Source organism: Homo sapiens, chromosome 6, assembly GCF_000001405.40.
Source record: "Homo sapiens chromosome 6, GRCh38.p14 Primary Assembly".
In the NCBI taxonomy this organism is placed as follows: domain Eukaryota; kingdom Metazoa; phylum Chordata; class Mammalia; order Primates; family Hominidae; genus Homo; species Homo sapiens.
Genome location: NC_000006.12, coordinates 148,978,803 through 148,998,460, shown reverse-complemented (window position 1 = coordinate 148,998,460; position 19,658 = coordinate 148,978,803). Strand labels below are relative to the sequence as shown.

Below are 19,658 nucleotides of genomic sequence, written 5' to 3'. Positions count from 1 at the left end.
TTATAAAACGTAGGCCAGAGATCAGAAGGAATACGGCAGATTTTGGTGAAAAGTTGAATTATGAGGTGGAGACAAAAGAATCATTCACCTCAAATCTGTTCATTTCACCTGTTATAAGAAGCCCACAGCATAGTCCACGTCTCCACAGTTTAGTACTTCCTGGAGGCAGTACTGAACAGAAAACTCAAGCTCAAACATCTTCCCAGCCAAAATGAAGCTTTGTGACTGTAAGAATGGCAGGAATTCCTGAGAAACCAAGAATGTTCTTTAAGGGATTTATACCATAAAAGTTATTTATGGCCCCTTTGGGCCACACAAGTTTTGAAAAGCCACAGAAACTGTCTTAGCCTCAGAATTTTGATGATTTTGCCTTCTTAGCTGAAGAGGTTCAGAATTTCGTTTTCTTTCACATGCAATAGTCTAATAGTTTTGGCTTAAGAACGCAAAACAAACCACAAAAGTCACACTTTCAACCTCTGGTTATCCAGGGTATAAACAGCATGTTTGTGGATTATTTTTTAGGCCAGCCCACAGCTTCTCCTTTCTGTGCTCCATGATCCTGACTTAGAAGGTCATTAAGGACTCGTAATAAGTTCAATAAAGAGATGCTGAACCTAAATAAAATAATTATTTTAAATTAACAGGGAACTTCGGTTTCTCAAGATCCTAGTATCATGAGTGACTAAGAATTGTCTGTGAAATGGAGCTTCACTGGACTATTCTCTTTTGTGAGTATTTAAAATTTTCCATAATGTTATAAAAAGCAAACAAAAAAATCCCAGAAAAAATAAATGACTATTAGTATAGTGTGTTCCCCAGTGTCTGTTCTCATCTTCAGAGGATATGAACTGGGGTTTATGTTGGTTCACTAAATGTATATATCCTAAGATGTACCTGCATATAATAAAAATATTAGAGAACATTCTGTAAGGAAGCTCAATTTTTTCCTGCCTTCATTTTCCCTTTTTCTAATTCATTTTTTCATTCATCCATTCATTCACTCATTCATTTTCCATCTGTCTCACTCTAAAGCTTCTTGGACTGTGTTTTCAGTGGGTCAGGTTCTTTATGAATCCTCAGACCTTTATAATTTTCCATCCTAAGTTTGCTTAGAGATCTCATTTCTGACCCTTTCATTGGTCCTGCTTCCTGGATTCTTTCTCTTCTAAAATAAAACATGACTACATGGAATCCAAGAAAAAAAGCTACGAAATCAAGCCCCTTTATTATGCTGGTATTTGAGATTTCTCTCACAGCTTTCTTATAGAATGTTCCCTATTTTTATTATATGCAGGTACATCTTAGGATATATACATTTAGTGAACCAACATAAACCCCAGTTCATATCCTCTGAAGATGAGAACAGACACGGGGACTCCAAAAGCAGGGAGGGAGACAGCAAAGGCTGCAAGCCTTCCTACTGGGTACTATGTTCATTATCTGGTGCCAAGATCAACAGAAGCTCAAACACATGCAATACACCCTTGCAACAAACCTCCACATATACAACCTGAATCTAAAATAAAAATTCTAATTAAAAACATAAAAAATAAAGGCTGTGTTATAATAGCATTTTTTTCTCTTATTACTCTTTCCTTTCTCTTATTGATATTCCCTCCCCTTTTTAGGTTAACTACCCATGAATCAGACCAAGGCTGTATAAACACACAAAAAATTCAAGTCACTAGAATAACTTCTACACACATAAGTACTGAAATGAAGAACTACTAAAACAGAATTTCCCAGATCTATCTTTCCTCAAGTTGAGAACCAAAGCCAAAGAAAAGCAAATATACACTCAAGTTAAAATATGTTAATTACTCTGATGATGAAGAGATCAATTCCACAGGGTAAATGTAGAACTATATTTATCATTTAGACACACAAGAGAAAGAGTCTGTAGGAGGAAAAGCAGTCTTCCTGGTGAAAAACTGATTAAACAGGGCAGGTGTGGTGGCTTGTGCCTGTAATCCCAGCACTTTGGGAAGCCGGGGCAGGCAGATCACCTGAGGTCAGGAGTTCAAGACCAGCTTGGCCAACATGGCAAAACCCCATCTTTACTAAAAATACAAAAATTAGCTGGGCATGGTGGCAAGTGCCTGTAGTCCCAGCTACTTGGGAGGCTGAGGGAGGAGAATCACTTGAACCTGGGAGGCAGAGGCTGCAGTGAGCCAAGATCATGCCACTGCACTCCAGCCTGGTGACAGAGTGAGATCCTGTCTCAGAAACAACGATAACCATAACAAACCTGATTAAACATATAATATTTAGGAGGGGCTCTTTCTCTTCCTCTTTCTTATCATGAACAGTTTTCAAAGCCAGAGAGTGGAAGAATCAATTCTCTATGGCGATCTCAGCACTTTCAACACTCAAGGTATAACACTCAGTGAATGTAGCATCCTTCAACGCTGCTCTTACTGGGTTCCCAACATCTGCTGGGCACCGTGTTGTGTGCAGTCTGTCCCCACTCTGCCCCCACCCCCTGCTGAATACAGGCTCCAGAGCTGGGACAGCAATTACCAATGCCCACAGGTGCCTGCCAGGTCATGTGAATGCATGAATAGGGCCCTGTGCCTGCAGATACTGAGGGGTGGAGAAACGCAGGGCAAACTAGGAATGCACACGCCCTGTCTCCAGGGGGCAGATGCTGTTCAGCTCCAGCCAGTCTCTGCCACACAAAATTTGTCCCAGGGTTGCCCAATATTCTCACCTGTCAAGAGAAGCTAGAAATTTGAATTTGGATCTTTGTGTGAGATCTCTCAATTCTTAAATGTTGGTACTACAAACAACAACAAAACCCATATATGAAACAAAACACGTCGGCAAGTCACATGTGACCCACAGGTAACTGGTTTATGCCCCACTGTCTTTAGTCATAGCCACTTCAAAATAAGATTTTATAACCTGCTGTACTATGTTTCTGGCAAGAATAATGCTAGTAGATAAGGAACAAGTAGAGTTTGTAATGCGACTAGAACACAGAAGATATCTGTGAAATAGAGAAGAAAACCCTGGCTTAGCCATCAGATGATCTGGGTTTGGGTCTTGCTTCTGTGCTAGCTGCTGAGTCACAATGGGTGAAGCACTCCATCTTTTTGAGCATCAGGTTTCTTACCTCTAAAATAAGAACAGGACCGAGGCTGGGCGCAGCGGCTCATGCCTGGAATCCCAGCACTTTGGGAGGCCGAGGCGGGCGGATCACTTGAGGCCAGGAGTTCGAGACCAGCCTGGCCAATGGCAAAACCCCAACTCTGCTAAAAATACAAAAATTAGCCAAGTGTGGTGGTGCGTGCCTATAATTCCAGCTACTTGGGAAGCTGAGGTACGAGAATAGCTTGAACCCGGGAGGCGGAGGTTGCAGTGAGCCGAGATCGCCCCACTGCACTCCAGCTTGTGCGACAGAGTGAGACTCTGTCTCACACACACACACACAAGATAAGGATAGGACAAATTCTTTTACAGGATGGCTATGGGGATTAAAGAAAAAATATGTGAAAATGCTTTACAGACTACAAGATAGCATTCTGCAGAGGTAAGGGGTGAACAGGCACTTTGAGTTTTGAATCTATAGATTAAGGGCTATGAAGGGTTCAGCAACATTGGATGAAGTGGTCCTGGAAATGCAAGGACTTGAGGATTCATCTTGGCCCTGAAAGAGAAACTGCAGTGAGCAGGGCAAGGAAAACGGGAAAAAGGAAAAGAGCCTGGTGGGGGGGACAGAAAGAAAAGCTGTGGGGTCTTAGAGAGTGTGCTTTCCTTTATGAGGAAACAAAGTAGGACTGTAAAGACCACAGTGAAACTCTTGACTAGCGAAGAGGTGAATATCCGCCTGGTGGATTATTTGTGGCAAATTTAAAATCACAGGTTGTCTTCCCAGTCTTGGAATAGTTTCAAGTGACCAACTGACCTCCTTACCCTTGAATCAGAGAATAAGAACTCACTTCAATATTAGTCCCCCAAAAAACACAATCAGAGGAGACCATGATGCTAGAATACTTTCATTAATTCTAAGATTAAACAGAGAGGCTCTTTGGATTATCAGCAGTTTTCCACTATCAGAACCAACATTTTCTCCTATTAAAGTGAATAAATTGTTTTTCATTAATTTATAACCATTCCACCAAGAATGTAGAAACTTTTACTATGGGGTTGTTTACTAGCCCACTCTTGCATTGCTATAAATATCTGAGGCCAGGCACAGTGGCTCACACCTGTAATCCCAGCATTTTGGGAGGCTGAGGCAAGTGGATCACTTGAGGCCAGAAGTTCGAGATCAGCTTGGCCAACATGGCAAAACCTTGTCTCTACCAAAAATACAAAAAAAATTAGCCAGCGTGCTGGTGCATGCCTGTAGTCCCAGGTTGTTGGGAGGCTGAGGCACAAGAATCGCTTGAACTTGGGAGGCAGAGGTTGCAGTGAGCCAAGATCATGCCACTGCATTCCAGCCTGGGTGACAGAGTGAGATTCTGTCTCAACAAAAAAAAAAAAAAAAAAAAAAAAAAAAGGAAAGAAATATTCAAGACTGGGTAATTTATAAGGAAAAGAGGTTTAACTGACCCAGTGATCTGCAGGCTGTGCAGGAAGCATGGTGCTGGCATCTGCTCAGCTTCTAGGGAGGCCTCAGCAAGCTTCCAATCATGGCAGAAGGTGAAGTGGGAGCAGCCACATCACATGGCAAAAGCAGGAGCAAGTGAGGCTCAGGGGAGGAGGGGCCACACACTTTTAAATGGCCAGATCTCCTGAGAACTCACTCACTATCATGAGGTCAGCACCAAGGAGTCGCTGCTAAACCATTCATGAAAAATTTGCGTCAATGATCTGATCACTTCCCACCAGGCCCCACCTCCAATACTGGGGATTACAATTCAAAATGAGATTTGGGTGGGGACAAATATACAAACAGTATCAGCTTGTTATTGGTTTTATCCTTTAGTAAGTCACACAAGTCTCTAAATTCTTTTATCCTTAACTTTTAGCACTAAGTTCTAGACAGTTTCTCCAAGTATAATAAGTCTAAGGATGCTAGTTTGGTTTAAAAAACAGAGAAAAATAAAGTTTCAATATAAAACAATTTTTTTTTTTCAAAAAGAGTAACCAAACTTTTGGAAACTCCCACTGGAGAATTCTCAACGGTACTAGACTATTATGCAGATGGTGCCCAAGATCTTCCTGGCCCCCAGCCCAGGGTCACCCTCCTTTAGGAAGATTGTGTATTTAGCTGATGACCTGTGCCACTAGGTCTGATGGAAGGCTCAGGAGAAACTCATTCTTCTTATTCCACTTTCTTGCCCTGGCCTTGTTTAGATGTAGAAATCGAACTTACTGACATTCAGAATTTGGGCATTTAAGATGTTAACTGACCTAGAAACAAATGCACTAAGAAACAAATGTCACCTCCTTTGGTGCTCCTCCTTGCCAGTTGGGATTGAAGGAAGCAAGTGGTTATTAGCCTTGAATGCTGAGCCGCCCAAAGGGGTCTGTGGATAGAAATGTATTTCAGTATAATTTGTTTTCTTTGTAATCCTAAGTATTTTATGATATGCATTTAAAAACATTCTGAGAAGAGGTCTGTAGACTTCACTAGACTGCTAAAGAGGTTCATGACACAAAAGAGGTTAAGATTCCCTCAAGTATTGGTTATTTCTTTCCTTGAGCAGGGGCCATCCATATGCTCCTGCTGTAAAATGTATTTCCTGACCTGTATTCTCATGCTAGGTCTCTGGGGCCATGAAGAAAAGTCAACAGAAGATTATTTTCTACTGAGATTTTTAAAATTCTACCTTAAACGCTTGGTTAAAACTTCAATTTCAGAGAGTTGGACAGCAAAACTACAACCACAACCAAGTTTTCATGCAAATAGAGTCCTCTGGGTGGTCCAAATGCTTAAAGGAATCTGTATTTGCCATTTAATCTAGCACAGTGGTTCTCAAAGTGAGGTCCACAGACCCCCGGCAGGACTCTAAAACTGTTTTTGTTTTTTGTTTTTTGTTTTGAGACGTAATCTCACTCTCTCGCCCAGGCTGGAGTGCAGTGGCGCGATCTCGGCTCACTGCAAGCTCCGCCCCTCGGGTTCACCCCATTCTCCTGCCTCAACGCCCGGCTAATTTTTTTTGTATTTTTAGTAGAGACGGGGTTTCACCGTGTTGGCCAGGATGGTCTCGATCTCCTGACCTCGTGATCTGCCCGCCTCGGCCTCTCAAAGTGCTGGGATTACAGGCGTGAGCCACCGCGATCGGCCTCGGGACTCTAAAACTCTTTAAGGGGTCCACAAGAACCAACTGGTTTTCATAAGAATCCTAAGGTGTTCTTTGCCTGTTGATGGTGTTGACATTTGTGTGGATGGAGCAAGGCTATGATCATAAACAGGTGGCTCATTCACAAGAATGCAGACGGTGGACCAAACTGTTCCACAGGTCATGGTATTCTTCACCACCATACTTACGACAATAAAAACACCAGTTTATCTTAAGGATGTTCTTGATGGAGCAGTAAAAATTATTTATTGTTCTAAACGTCAACCCCTGAGTACTCATATTTTTAATATTGTGTGAAGAAGTATGGGAAGTTTGCATAAAGCACTTCTGCTACTGACCTCCTAGCAGTTTGATGTAGTCTAAGGATTCACTTTTCAGGGCAATATGCTTAAATGTATATAATAAACAGGATTATAAAGGAGACCTAATCCATTGAATTATTTATCAAAATACTACAAAGTTGTGATAAGTAACATATATGCTTGTTCAATGTATTGAATGACAAGATTTCTCAATGGGTCTAATATCTACCATGACATTGATCCAAGAATTATGTTAGTATGAATGATTGAGACATCTCCAGTAACAGTTGATATAAAATATCTATGAATTCTATAGGTGGGAATTGAACAATGAGAACACTTGGACACAGGGTGGGGAACATCACACACCGGGGCCTGTCGTGGGGTGGGGGGAGGGGGGAGGGATAGCATTAGGAGATATACCTAATGTAAATGATGAGTTAACGGGTGCAGCACACCAACATGGCACATGTATACATATGTAACAAACCTGCACATTGTGCACATGTACCCTAGAACTTAAAGTATAATAATAAAAATAAAAATTAAAAAAAATTTATGAGTTCTATTGGTGGCATGACAGGTACTGTTAATATTGCCACTGTTTGTTGCCTACATTCAAAAACGAACATTTGCAAACTTTAAGTTGGTAAAACTATGATGTATTTTTTGCCACTATCATTCAGAGATCCTCTGTAATTTACCCATGAACTTTTTGTGGGGATCTGTGGACCCCATATAGAGAACACCTGCCTCAGAACAAACTTTTGATTCTTGACATAAATAGCATCCGCAGTTACTCATTGTCCTCTTATTTTTCTTAGCTTTCGGTCACCACCTGATATATATTAATTATCTGTCTGTTTACTACCTGCCTCACCTCACTAGGATGTCAGCTCCATGACAGGTGGGGCTTTGTCTCCCTTGTTCACTCCTGTTCCAGGGCTTAGGAGAGTGCCAGCCCACAGGAGACGCTTAGCCAATATTTTCTTGAGTGAATGAATAGATACGATCAGCTTCCAAGTCTTACTGAGTCTACGTGGAACACTGCTCTTTCCACTTCTAGTTCCTGCTCCTAGGAGAGTGTCACTGTGTTCTTCAATATTTATGTCTCTTATAAATATTGCAGTTTGCAGCTAGTCTCATGATTTAAAGTGAGTAGTTTTAGAGAGAAGTTGCGCTTTGAAAGAACCTCTTAATCAATTAATGCCGAGCCTCTTTGCACTTTCCCTGGGACGTCTGGGGATTGTCAGGATCTGCTACTGTTTCCTGCTGGCTTCCACAGAGAAAAGGCAAATGACTGAAACACAAGCCAGAATTTTCTGCAAAATCCCCAAAGTAAAGCTTTCGTGGGCTAAGATGGAAAATATGAATCTGAACGTCTGAATATCTGGGATTGTAATTTTATCCAGGAAAACACACTGGTGTCACGTTAAAGAGGTCAAGCAGCTAATGGAAAAATACCATCTAGTTACCTTATCATGAAACATCTCCTTTGGCTTCTCGCTCTTCATAGGTTGATCTGCTTAACTATTTGGATTTAAAAGAAAGAAAGATCTCATGGCATCAAATCTTATTCTTTGTCTTCAAATACTTCTATTATAAAACCAGTTCCTGTTTATTATATAAAATATGGCCAAGCAAAAAGAGGACGATAAAAAGCTACCATAAACCTGCCACACCAAATAAATATTTTAAAATGAAAGATATAAAGAATATAAAAATATGGTAGATATAAAAGTATGTTGGTGTATAGCACCTTTCAGTAACTTTTATACGAAAGCCTGGTTTTCTTACTGTAGGTTGTCCTGACTGTAATGCCGAACTCCAAATAAAATATTTAAAAGAACAAAGGAAGCAAAAGTCTTTGAACTTTCTTCCCCTAAACGCTTAATTTTTTTTGTACTTAAATGTGAGATTCCTCCACAAAGAGGCCAATGTTTCTTTAGTTGGATTTTCATCGACTTAGACATTCTTCCATCTAAATTCCAAATGGGGAGGGATGGAATGAACAAAGGAAAACTCATTTGATTATCCAAAAAACTCAGGAGAGTTTGTTATTTACCATGTGAATTGGTAACTTCTCACTGACTCCTTTATTTGAGGAAGTGGCATGAAGATGAGACAGTGTTAGGTGAGACAAGCCCTTCAGCCTCTTTAATTAGAATGGGAAAGGACTGGATTAGCTTTGGCTTCTCAGTTTTATAGGCTCCCTTCTTGGGAGGCTGAATGTGATTGCCTTAATTTAACAAGGTCTCTGTTCACCTGGAAGGACTCATGACAGAGTTGGGGACCTATATGATCTCCTTTGGCACTTTTGCAGTTGGTAGAACAGATACTTCTGTTAATGCAATCCAAGTTTGTTTTCAGTTTCTCTGAACAAGGACAAAGGCAAATCCCTCTTGCTTTCCTTTTATTTTGGTAATAGTCTCATGGCTTACTTTTTAATTTAATGCCCTAGTCTTCTTTTAAGTCAGTTTATAAGTGTTGGTAACATGCTAATGCAGTTTGTTAGAAGTAATAGAAATTCAGGACTTGGATTTCTTTTGGAACTCAGCCAGCTTCTTCAAAAAGGAAGGCTCTGAAATTTCCAACCTCTTAATAATTCATTCTCAGTCCTTCCCTATCTTCACCATTCCTTTTGAATTTTTAAACTTTTTAATCAAGGTTTTCATTTGCGGGGGGTGGGGGGGGGCCTTTACTGAAGTCAAGTAATTCCACCTTCATGAAGTTCTCACAGACCAGAAGTAGCTTCTTCAGAAGTCTAGAGGCCTCAAATGATAATAACAAAAACACTGAATTATGTGCCTCTTGTGTTTTCAAAGCCTTTGAACCTCTATTATCTCATTCTTATTGGCTGAGGAAGGACTGCTGAGGTTCCTGCATTTCTGAGAAGGGCCATTCCAGAAGGAGCAGGTGCTGGCTGTAAAGCTCACTGCTTGGGTCACTCCTTGTTGGCACAGGAGCATTGGAATAAGGGTGGGAGAGAGTGACAGACTTGGAGTTTCTGCCCAGTGGATCAGTGAATTAACAGGAGCAGAGGACAAGGAGGAGAAGGAGAGATGGAACTGCATCCTTGGGAATAGGCGAAGTCTACTTTGAAGGGTGGACTTGGAAATGATGAAGCGGAGTGGATTGGCATTTGGTTGGGAAGAGGTGGGGAGGGTGGGACAGTATTACATGTTGTAGGAATCTACAGCTTCAGATTAGAGACCAGGGAAACATCCTCATCTGCCTTCCTGCCAATCTTTCGGAGAACACAAGAAAGAAAGTTAATTGTGGTTATAGGTGTTGCTATTGTTGTTTTTTGCTTTTTTTTTTTTTTTTTTTTGAGACAGGGTCTTTCTCTGTCACCCAGGCTGGAGTCCAGTAATGTGATCTTGGCTAACTGCAACCTCCACCTCCCAAGTTCAAGCAATTCTTGTGCCTCAGCCTCCTGAGTAGCTGGGACTACAGGCACACGCCACCATGCTGGGCTACCTTTTGTATTTTTAGTAGAGTCAGGGTTTCGTCATGTTAGCCAGGCTGGTCTCAAACTCCTGGCCTCAAGTGATTCACCCGCTTTGACCTCCCAAAGTGCTGGACTTACAGGCATGAGCCACCGCACCCAGCCTGTTTTTTGAATAAAGGGAGTAAACCAGGTAATTGATGCATGATGCAGGCTCTGCCTAACTGTTCAATGTCAAGTTTCAGTTCTTGCTACCTCCTGCCTCAAACTTTATACCCCAGCACCCTTCACTGCCTTTAGTTCCTCCTCTGTATCAAGCTATTTCAAATTACACCCTCTCTGCTTGGACCTTGTACTCATCCTGCAAGACTCAACTGAGGTAACACCTCCTCCAGGAAGCCTCACAGACACGAGCTCCCCACACCTCTGGTGGTGCTCCTAGATAAAGCTCTGATGTTAGAACCCTAGCTGTGTGTGCCTCTCTCCTTAGACAATTCCTCGAGAGCATAGTCCATATTCTGTTTTTGAAGCTGTAGCCCTCACCACTGAGCTTGGCATAAAGTAGATGCTCATGTCTGTTTGGCTGAACGAATACACGTCTGATGAATGAAAGCACATGATGAAGAAGATCAAGAGTTTTGGCGCTACGGATGTCACTGCAGTGTTAGTGTCATGGCAGTAGGAATTCTCATTCTATTCAATGATGTTTCCCAAATGGTGGAAAATGTGCCTGTCACACGGTGGGTCCTGAAACAAAATTTTTAAAATAAATTAAGAAGGAAGAAACATTTTTGGAAGTGATGTACAAGTGGCAAGTTACAGATTCTTTTGCCATGTCAAAAGATTTTAAAGAGCTTTTCTTGAAGGCAAGCGTTCTTTTCATGAGAGACCCGCTTTTTCATCTGGAAGGAAGCTTCAAGGCACAAAGTCTTCTGCAGCTTACTCATGTGCAGTAGAAATTTTTTTTTTGTTATTCACGTTACACAGTCTGCAGTGAGCCTAAGACCCGAGTCTTCTGAAGTCTCAGGGCCATGTAGGGCACACCACTTGGTGCAGAGACTGCAGTGCCCTGTCCATCCTGACCCTTCCTGGGTTGTTCTTTGCAGAGCTAAGCTCTCAGGCCCCAAGACGCAGTGAGAGAAGAGTCTGGAGATCTGGAAGCTTCTGCATACCTCCCTGCTTCCAAGCAGCATGCATATTTTATTTTCTAGACAAGCTGGGAGGATAAACAATTTCCCAATAAACTGAGAGTGGCCAGGGAGGCAAGTAATTAATGTATCTCCTGGTTTGTGGGTGGGAGTGGGCAGGAAGCACATCAACCAGATCCCTGGGCTGTAATGGATGTCACAGTTCTCTTAAATGGTCATCTTGAGGTTAAAACACATTTTTCCAATAGTGTCTGCCATTATAAAATGTAAGATTCAGAAAGATACATCTGTATGAAGCACAATCTTTTGTATTATTTTGTAGATGTTACCAATCCTTAATCACCAGTAGGGTGATGATGTATATCAATCAGCATCACCTTCAACAGTGAATAGTTACTGAGCAGTGTGGTGTGCAGGACACTGCAAAGACAGGGAGCATAAAGTGATTGCACTCTCTGTCCTTGAGGAACTTTCTATCCAGGTAGGGAGACATAAAAATGATGATGACGGCAATTCAGGGAAAAGCAAAATACAGGGCATGGCAAGCTCTCCACAGGGATTCCGAGGAGGAGGGTGGTTTCAGGAATTTTTTGCATCAGAAATGTGTCAGGGAATCATGAAGCCAATTGTCTGTAGCATAGAGGTTGGAGAGTCAGCTGTAGCATCAGATGACCTGGCTTCAAATCAGTGGTGTACCGGCAAATGCCTAACAACCATCTTTTCAGAAACAAGCAAACAAACAAAGGACTGATGTGTAGCATATGCAGATTTCCATGCTGTAAATACTCCTATATGGCCAAATTTTCAAGCTACTGTCTTTGTGTCAACTGACTAGCGCAATTCCTAAAAATAAAAAATTGACTCGATTAGTCTGAGCCAGCTCTAACATACCACTAGCTGAAATCCAGGCTCTATTACTTACTAGTGGTATGAACTGAGGCAAGTTACTTAACCTCTGTAATCCTTGGCATCTCATCTGCAAAACAGGTATAATAATACCAATCTTAGGGGGATGCTGTAAGAATTAAATGAGATATTACATATGTGGCAGCCATGAATCTCTCCCATTGCTGGAAGAGTAAGTAACCAATGGTCCCAGCTGCTTTGTTCGATTTTATCACCTCATTTGTGCCAAGGGCATGCTTCCCGTAGGCTAATATCAGGCAGTGACTAGTGTGACAAGTTGTCTAAGGCAGGCCCATTCCTGCAACACACAGGACTCCTCTGATGAATGACTTTGGCTGACAACTTCCCCTTGGCCTGACTGAAACTTTCTTAAAACTACACTGTGTTCTGAGGCTCTCCTTACCCAATAGTCCTTCCCCTGTTCTTTATAGGAATCAGATCTACTATGGGTTTGATGGCTCTTCCTGCCTCCTTTTCCCTTCACAGGCATTTCCCCCAATAAATCTCTTGCACATCCAATCTCATCTTGGTATCTGCATCTTGAAGAAGCCCTTTAGGTTGTGTATATGGTATGTGCTCAATAGTATTTGTTTTTTAAGAGAAGAGTAATGTGGAATCTCCTTGCGCTTTAGGTTCTGAGGACCTACCTCTTCCTTTGGTAAGTGATCCTGAAAGAGAACGTGACAATCCCACGCATACCTCTGCATGCCTCACCAGGCCAATGCAGACCAGACTTCCCCACCACTATCTTCATTTTTTCCACATCTTTCTTGCCCCATCTGCATATCCATCTTGCTTCTACCCTTGTCACTAAATGGAAACTGCTCTTGCCAAGATTAGTAGAAATCTAATGGTTACGTTTTCTATTCTCATTTTAGATATTCTTCCTTGAAGCTTCTGACAGTCATGAACCTCTCAGAACTTTTTTCCTCTGATTCTCTGACACCACCACACCTCTATATTGTACTCTTCCTGGGACTCTTGTTCAGTTTTTGTTGTTGTTGTTGTTGTTGTTTTGCTTCAAAGTCCTCAGTTGGTGCTAAAAAATGGGTGACTCTGGGCTCTTTTATCCTCATCCCTGATACGCACCCCATGGCTCTAATTCAACAACTTCAGCAGATAATTACTGAGCACCAACATTGTTCCAGACATGATCTCAACCTTCACAGAATATTTTAGTAGATTGATTACCCTCTCTTTGGATACTGATAACTTCCAATTCCACATATTCAGCACAGCCCACTTTTCTGCCTGCTGGGTGTCTCCATTCATATGTACTGCAAGCACCTGAAACTCAGCATATCCAAAGCAGAATTTATTTTTCCTGCACATCCGTCCCGTTATTCCCTACCCTCAGCAGTACCTTGCATCAGCTTACTCCAACTAGAAACCTAGAATCATCCTGAACGCCTCTTCATCCTTTAGCTCCATAGCCAATTACTCATGAAACAATTGTTGATCTTATTACATAGACATGTCTTTATCCATTCCTCTTGGTCTCATGTACCATGACAATCCTATTTCAAACCAAAATAGTTTATTTTGCTCTACTCCAAACATCCTCCCCTTGCAAGATTTTCTAAATGAAAATCTTGGCTGAGTGCAGTGGCTCATGCCTGTAATCCCAGCACTCTGGGAGGCCAAGGCAGAAAGATGGCTCAAGGCCAGGAGTCAGGACCAGCCTGGGAAACACAGCAAGGCCCCATTCGCTAGGGTAGTGCACACCTATAGCCCGAGCTACTTGGCAGGCTGAGGTGGGAGGATTGCTTGAGCCCAGGGGTTTGAGGCTGCAGTGAGCTATGATTGTGCCACTGCACTCCAGCCTGCAAGACAGAGTGAGATCCCGTCTCTAAAAAACAAATTAATTAAAAATAAATAAATAAATGCAAATCCTATCATGTCATGATGTCTAGGACTTTTTATTGTCTTTAGCATAAAGCTTCAAATATTTAGAATATCTTTTTAAGGGCTTTGATGATTGATCTATTGCCCACCTCTCCAGCTTTCATATCACACCCCTGTTCTCATCCATATGAGATTCTTGCAGTACTTGGGACCCTTGACCTATGCACGTATTGTTCCCACAGCCTGATCATCTCTCCCAATACTTGTTTAATGTCTGTTTTCCCTGATAGATTATATACTCTGGGAGGGCTAGAACCACATCTGTGTTTTTCATTAGTGCATTCTCAACATCTGCTAAAGGGCTGGCTACAGAGTAGGTGCTGTGCATTTGTTGAAAGGAAGAATGAAGGAATTGACCATATCTGAATATAAGTAGTCTAAACATTTATGCACATGATGTATATAATAATCAGTTGCAGATGGGTAGGTTCCTGAAAAGATGTTGGTAACAAAATGCCAGACCCACCGGGTTTATTTATAGTTAAAGGAAAAAACCCAGGAAGAACAGTTTAATTTTTTAAAAAAAGAACAAGTCAAATTTCAGCCACTGGCATCGATGTTATCGTGTGTTTGTACACATGCATGTGTACACTGTGTGATGTGGGGGTGGTGGTGATAGGGTCTCCTATGGTGATTTGGTCACCTTGAAGACTACGTCCTCCTTTTCTGGACAAGGAATGAGGTTGCACTAGGCTGTCTTCAGAAGTAGATTGGTGAACAACACATTGGAAAAGTTTAGGTAACAGCTGTCACTTCTGAGTTTTATCATTTTGTTTCAGAACTTAACATACGCTCTTTTCAGACATTCTTGTACTTCACAAATTTCTTCTTGACATTTTATTTCCTACATTCGCTTTTCCTGGTAAACACCCCATAGGGCTCAGCCTTTGCTGGCAGCATGATAGCAGGAGTTAACTCTGTGTGACATTTCCAACCCTCCTGCTCCAGCCGTAACAACTCAAATGACTGGCTGAGATGAGATAACCTCTATGTTTCTTTTCTGCCTTGAAATATTATGACTAATTGAGGTATGATTTTTTTTTCCTTTTATCAACTCCATGGGATCCCATGTTAAAAGACCTTGATGACGAATCCTGTTCTTCCATTTGGCTTCTTGCTTCTGATTGTTTTCATTCCTGCCTTGTTCCTAGCCTCCTATTCTACTGTGCCAATGACGGTAGGCTCACAGGTCAAGGGCCTACCCAGTAAGACTCCATTCCAAGAGCCGCTGGTAAGATGTTTAATTGTTTCTTGCCACAGCTTTGTCACTTGCAAAAAGGGACTAATAAGGCTATCTTGGTGAATAGCACATTCTTGGAAGACGGTTGACTTAATGAGGTGTTTTGAGTTTTTTAAAGCGAAAAGCCCTTTGAAAACTTGGTGTTAACTGATGCCGTAATGTAAAATTATTTATTTTGACTGAATCTTAAAATTCTCAGTGCTCAATATGGCTTTGCAAATAAATTAAATACAGACTGTGCTCTGCAGAAACCTGACTTTCTCTAATCACATTTAGAGAGAATTAAATGAGGTGTCTTTTATCAAAAACATTTAAATCAATACTGGATTAAAAAGGGAGGCCCAAGTAGTTTTAGGTACAGGGAATGAAACAAATAATATCTTGCCCCAGTTTAGAAGAGCTTTCCCAGGAAAAGGAAACCTTTTTGAAAATTAAATTCTGAAGATTTGTTGGACTAATGACAACATTTTACTTACCTGTAATGATTAGTATCTAAAAGCAAGTGCTCATAAACCTCAAGTTTAAAAGCACTGTTAAGGCTGCTAAGCATAACAGAAGTGCTTCTTTTTGATAATAACGTATTAGTTTGAGTAAACTGGTGTAGCTTAATTTCATCAGCTATAATGGAGTGATGTACTCTGAGACCCTCTGTGCCCTGGGTAGAAACTGTAAGATTGAACAAGCAACAATTAACTTTGCTGAGGATACAAAGCATCCTACTATGGTTTCAATGTGGTCACTCCAGAACTCAGGTGTTGCCAATGTCATAGTATTAGGAGGTGGGCCTTTAAGAGGTGAAGGGCCATGGGATCTCTTCCCTTGTGAATGGGACTAGGTGGCCTTACAAAAGGGCTTGACAGGTTGGGTGCAGTGGTTCATGCCAGTAATCCCAGCACTTTGGGAGGCCGAGTTGGGCGGATCATTTGAGGTCAAGTGTTCGAGACCAGCCTGGCCAACATGGAGCAACCCCGACTCTACTAAAAATAAAAAAATTAGCCAGGTGTGGTGGTGCACGCCTGTAGCCCCACCTACTTGGAGGGCTGAGGCAGGAGAATCACTTGAACCCAGGATGCAGAGGTTGCAGTGAGCCAAAATTGCACCATGGCATTCTAGCCTGGGTGACAGTGTAAGACTCCATCTCAAAAAAAAAAAACAAAAAAGGCTTGATGGAGGGAGTTCACTCGCTTGCCCTTCTGCCTTTTTCAGTGTGAAGACATAGCATGCTTCTCCTCCAGAAGAACCATCTTAGAAGCAGACAGAAGCCCTCACCAGACAACTGAACCTGCTGGCACTTTGATCTTGGACTTAGCAGTCTCCAGAACTGTGAGAAAGAAATTTCTTTTCTTTATAAATTACCCAGTGTCAGGTATTTTGTTACAGCAGCACAAACAGATAAAGACACATCCATTTTATGGCCTAGAAAGACGTGTCCAGCTTAATCAACAGCAGTGACCCAGAGGCACCGGAGATGCTTGCACAGGAAATACAGATATGCACATTTATATGAATGAAAAATATGCAAAGGATGCACTGATGTGATCATATATTTTTCAAACTGTGAATAAATCAAATATGTATGCACTTAGTCATTTACTGAGCTAATAATTTTTGAGCTCTTATTATGTGTCAGACCCTGTGTGTGTGTTTAGGTGCTGAAGAAGTACAGGTGAAAAAGACAGGAAAGTTCCCTACCCACATGCAGCAAATTCTAAGACCTTCCTATGCAATAAGCTCCACGGAGGCAATGGGATGTAAATAAAGCAGTGAAGATGGCACCTGCCCTTCAGGAGCTGACAGTCAGGCTGGGAAGGACTAAGGAATCAATGACAGTGTCACATAGGACAAAAAGAAGCAGTTTGGCATAGTGGTTAAGAACAAGGTTTCTGAAGCCTGTCTGCCTGGGTGAGCATCCTGGTTTTATCACTTAATGGAGGCGGCTTCACTGTAGGCAAGTTACTTAACCTCTCTGAGCATCAGGATTCTCAACTCTAAAATAAGATCACAGTCACACCTTTTCATAAGATCATTGTGAGGATTAAGTTGAGGATTCTAGTGCTAAACAGTACCTGGAATATAGTGTGACTTCAGGAAAAAGAAATGGTGTAAAGCACATGGGCAACTGGAATTCTAGAAAAGGGAGAACATCTCAAAGGCTGGGATCATGAGAGACTGCAGATGAGAATTTGAACGATGGATAGGAGGTGGAGAGAAAAAAGACAAAGGTGGTCTTTCCGGCCAGGTGTGGTGACTCATGCCTTTAATCCCAGCACTTTGGGAGGCCTAGGTGGGAGGATCACTTGAGCTTAGGAGTTTGAGACCAGCCTGGGTAACACAGTGAGACCTCATTTCTACAAAAAAAAAATTACAAAAATTAGTCAGGCGTGGTGGCTTGTGCCTGTAGTCCCAGCTACTTGGGAGACTGAGGGAGGAGGATGGTTTGAACCTGGGAGGTAGAGGCTGCAGCGAGCTGAGATCCCAACCACTGCACTCCAACCTAGGCAACAGAGGAAGATCCTGTCTCAAAAAAAGAAGAAAAAGACAAAAAAGGCCTTTCAACTTAGGTTATCAGCATAAGGACAAGAATAGAGATGAGGATGAGCTTTTTCTGAAAGATGATGTCAGAAGCTTGGTTGGATTAGCGTTTATTTGGGAAAGCAATATGTCAGGGCTGGCAGGATAGGTCCAGATTGTTAAGAGCCTTGAAAGACAGAGAAAGGCCTGTAGAATTCACCACAGTGGGCAAAAGTCACCAAGCTTCTTAAGCAAGAAATTAAACGATATGATGTGAAGTGCTGCTTTGGGAGGCTAATCTGGCAGCACTATGCAAAAGCTGAAAGAGAGGGAGAATGTCTGGAATTTGAGGAGAGCAGTTAGGAGGTATGGGAGAGTTGAAAAAAGTTAAAGACTGTGGTGTTGGCAGCAGCCGTGGAGAGAAGATGGGGACATCTGAGAGACATTCTAAGAAAAAAATAAAAAGAATTTCACTGCTGATTGGACTGACTAGATTAAGGAAATAACTCTTTTTAAAAAATCAGGAGCATGGTATATAGGTGATATATGTAGGTTATTCCAAAGTTTTAAGTAACAAGCAATCATATTGGACAAAAATAGATTAGGCAAGATGTACGAAACTGACCGTACAAACTCTTATCGGATACCCAAGAGAGACTGTGAGTCCTTGATAAAGATGAAGGACCAAAGGACTTAGGGAAGGAAAGAAATATTGTGAGGCACAATAAGCCCATTTGGGATGGGCCAGATACGAAACCCACCATTCCAAACAAAGAGTTACTCGAGCTTTAACACCTGGGCTTTGCACATAAAAGTAAAAGGCATATGCTGATTTATGAAATTAATGACCTAAATTTAATGAGGGAAGCAGCTGGAAATAACAAAGTTAAAATCTCAGATACATCTTAAGCCAAAACAATTCAAGTGAGGGGGTTTATGCCCTCACTCCAACTTAGTTTCCAAAAATAAAAGAAAAATAAGAGTCGCTGCTTACTGACCACACAGAGCTAAGAGCGGGCATGGCAGGAAGAACAGTGTCATCACTTTGAAGTTCTCAAGGCCAAAACTTTAAAGGGAAACATCGTGCAATCAAGCATCAACATTCTTTTCAAGGACCTTGGCATATTTGCTTCCACATTTGTAGCTGAATGGATGGACTGAAAACTGCTCAAAGTACAGGGTCTTAGTCAAAGATTTCTCCCTTTTCCAATGTCAAGTGTGCTCAGGGTCCATTCAAAGACCTTCCCAGTACTTCTTCAACAGAAGTCAGGGAGATGTGGGGTCTCTGTGTCAGAGGTGAATGAGCCCTAGCCAAAGACCACCTAGGCTTGGGGCAAATCAAATTTACATCTGCTGCCGTAATTAAAGCAAGGTAAAATGGGTATCTCACAGGACTTTAAGCCTCCAGTTGTTTTTCATCTTTCCTTTGTATTGCAAAACTGTGAATTATGGTTCTAGTCTGCATTTATTACAATTTGTTAAATGTGGTCACTGAGGAACTGACTGCCAGGGAAACCACACCCATGGGAAAGGACACAAGACAACATCCAGTCCAGAAACCTCAAGAAAGGACACACTTGAATTTACTCTGGTGACACAGGTGGTTGACAATGAAGCCACTCTGGAAGTGGTGGGTTATCAAAAAGGACACGTAGGTTACAGGTGCATGCGGGGCCGAGGGGTGTTAATATGATAATCTTTGTCTTTTTCCTTAGGTTTTTCTATTACTAGTTGTTGAGACTGATGCTGCTTATATTCTCCCTGAGATGAAATCCCAAAGGATCTGGATCCTAGACATCATACTCTAGTAGAATAAAAGTAGAAATGAGCGAAATTTGGCAATTAGCAATTTAACTTTTACTTCAATTATCTGACTTCTATGAGAAACCAATTTTTTTTTAAAAAAATTTTTACCTTAAGTTCTGGAATACATATGCTGAACGT

General features: G+C 41.6%; 1 protein-coding gene and 1 long non-coding RNA gene across 7 annotated transcripts in view, besides 1 other annotated feature; one reads left to right on the top strand and one right to left on the bottom strand.

The window, feature by feature from the left end:
• Window positions 1-19,658, bottom strand: part of UST (uronyl 2-sulfotransferase) — a 329,961-nt gene that overhangs the window by 78,530 nt on the left and 231,773 nt on the right. For 2 of the 6 annotated variants that reach the window (XR_001743088.3, XR_007059195.1), the window contains exons 6-7: window positions 8,032-8,086; window positions 5,395-5,477 (exon numbers count right to left, since the gene is read on the bottom strand). The exons of 2 other annotated variants lie outside the window; for them this stretch is intronic. Coding sequence is in view for 2 of the 4 variants with exons in the window: in XM_047418047.1 (XP_047274003.1) it covers window positions 8,036-8,086 (51 nt within the window). In the remaining 2 variants the exon portion in view is untranslated. The remainder of the gene's footprint in view (window positions 1-5,394; window positions 5,478-8,031; window positions 8,087-19,658) is intronic. 2 more of the 6 variants (XM_047418047.1, XM_047418048.1) reach the window with 1 other exon arrangement.
• LOC124901424 (uncharacterized) lies at window positions 15,014-16,788 on the top strand. Its single transcript, XR_007059805.1, has 2 exons — window positions 15,014-15,194; window positions 16,410-16,788. It is a non-coding gene; the product is annotated as an uncharacterized LOC124901424 (long non-coding RNA).
• Window positions 17,794-18,295: an enhancer, noted in NCBI's record as "NANOG hESC enhancer chr6:149301302-149301803 (GRCh37/hg19 assembly coordinates)". NCBI's record gives its function as "activates a minimal SCP1, AML or CMV promoter by ChIP-STARR-seq in naive H9 embryonic stem cells {active_cell/tissue: H9 hESC(naive)}" and the evidence as "EXISTENCE:reporter gene assay evidence [ECO:0000049][PMID:30033119]".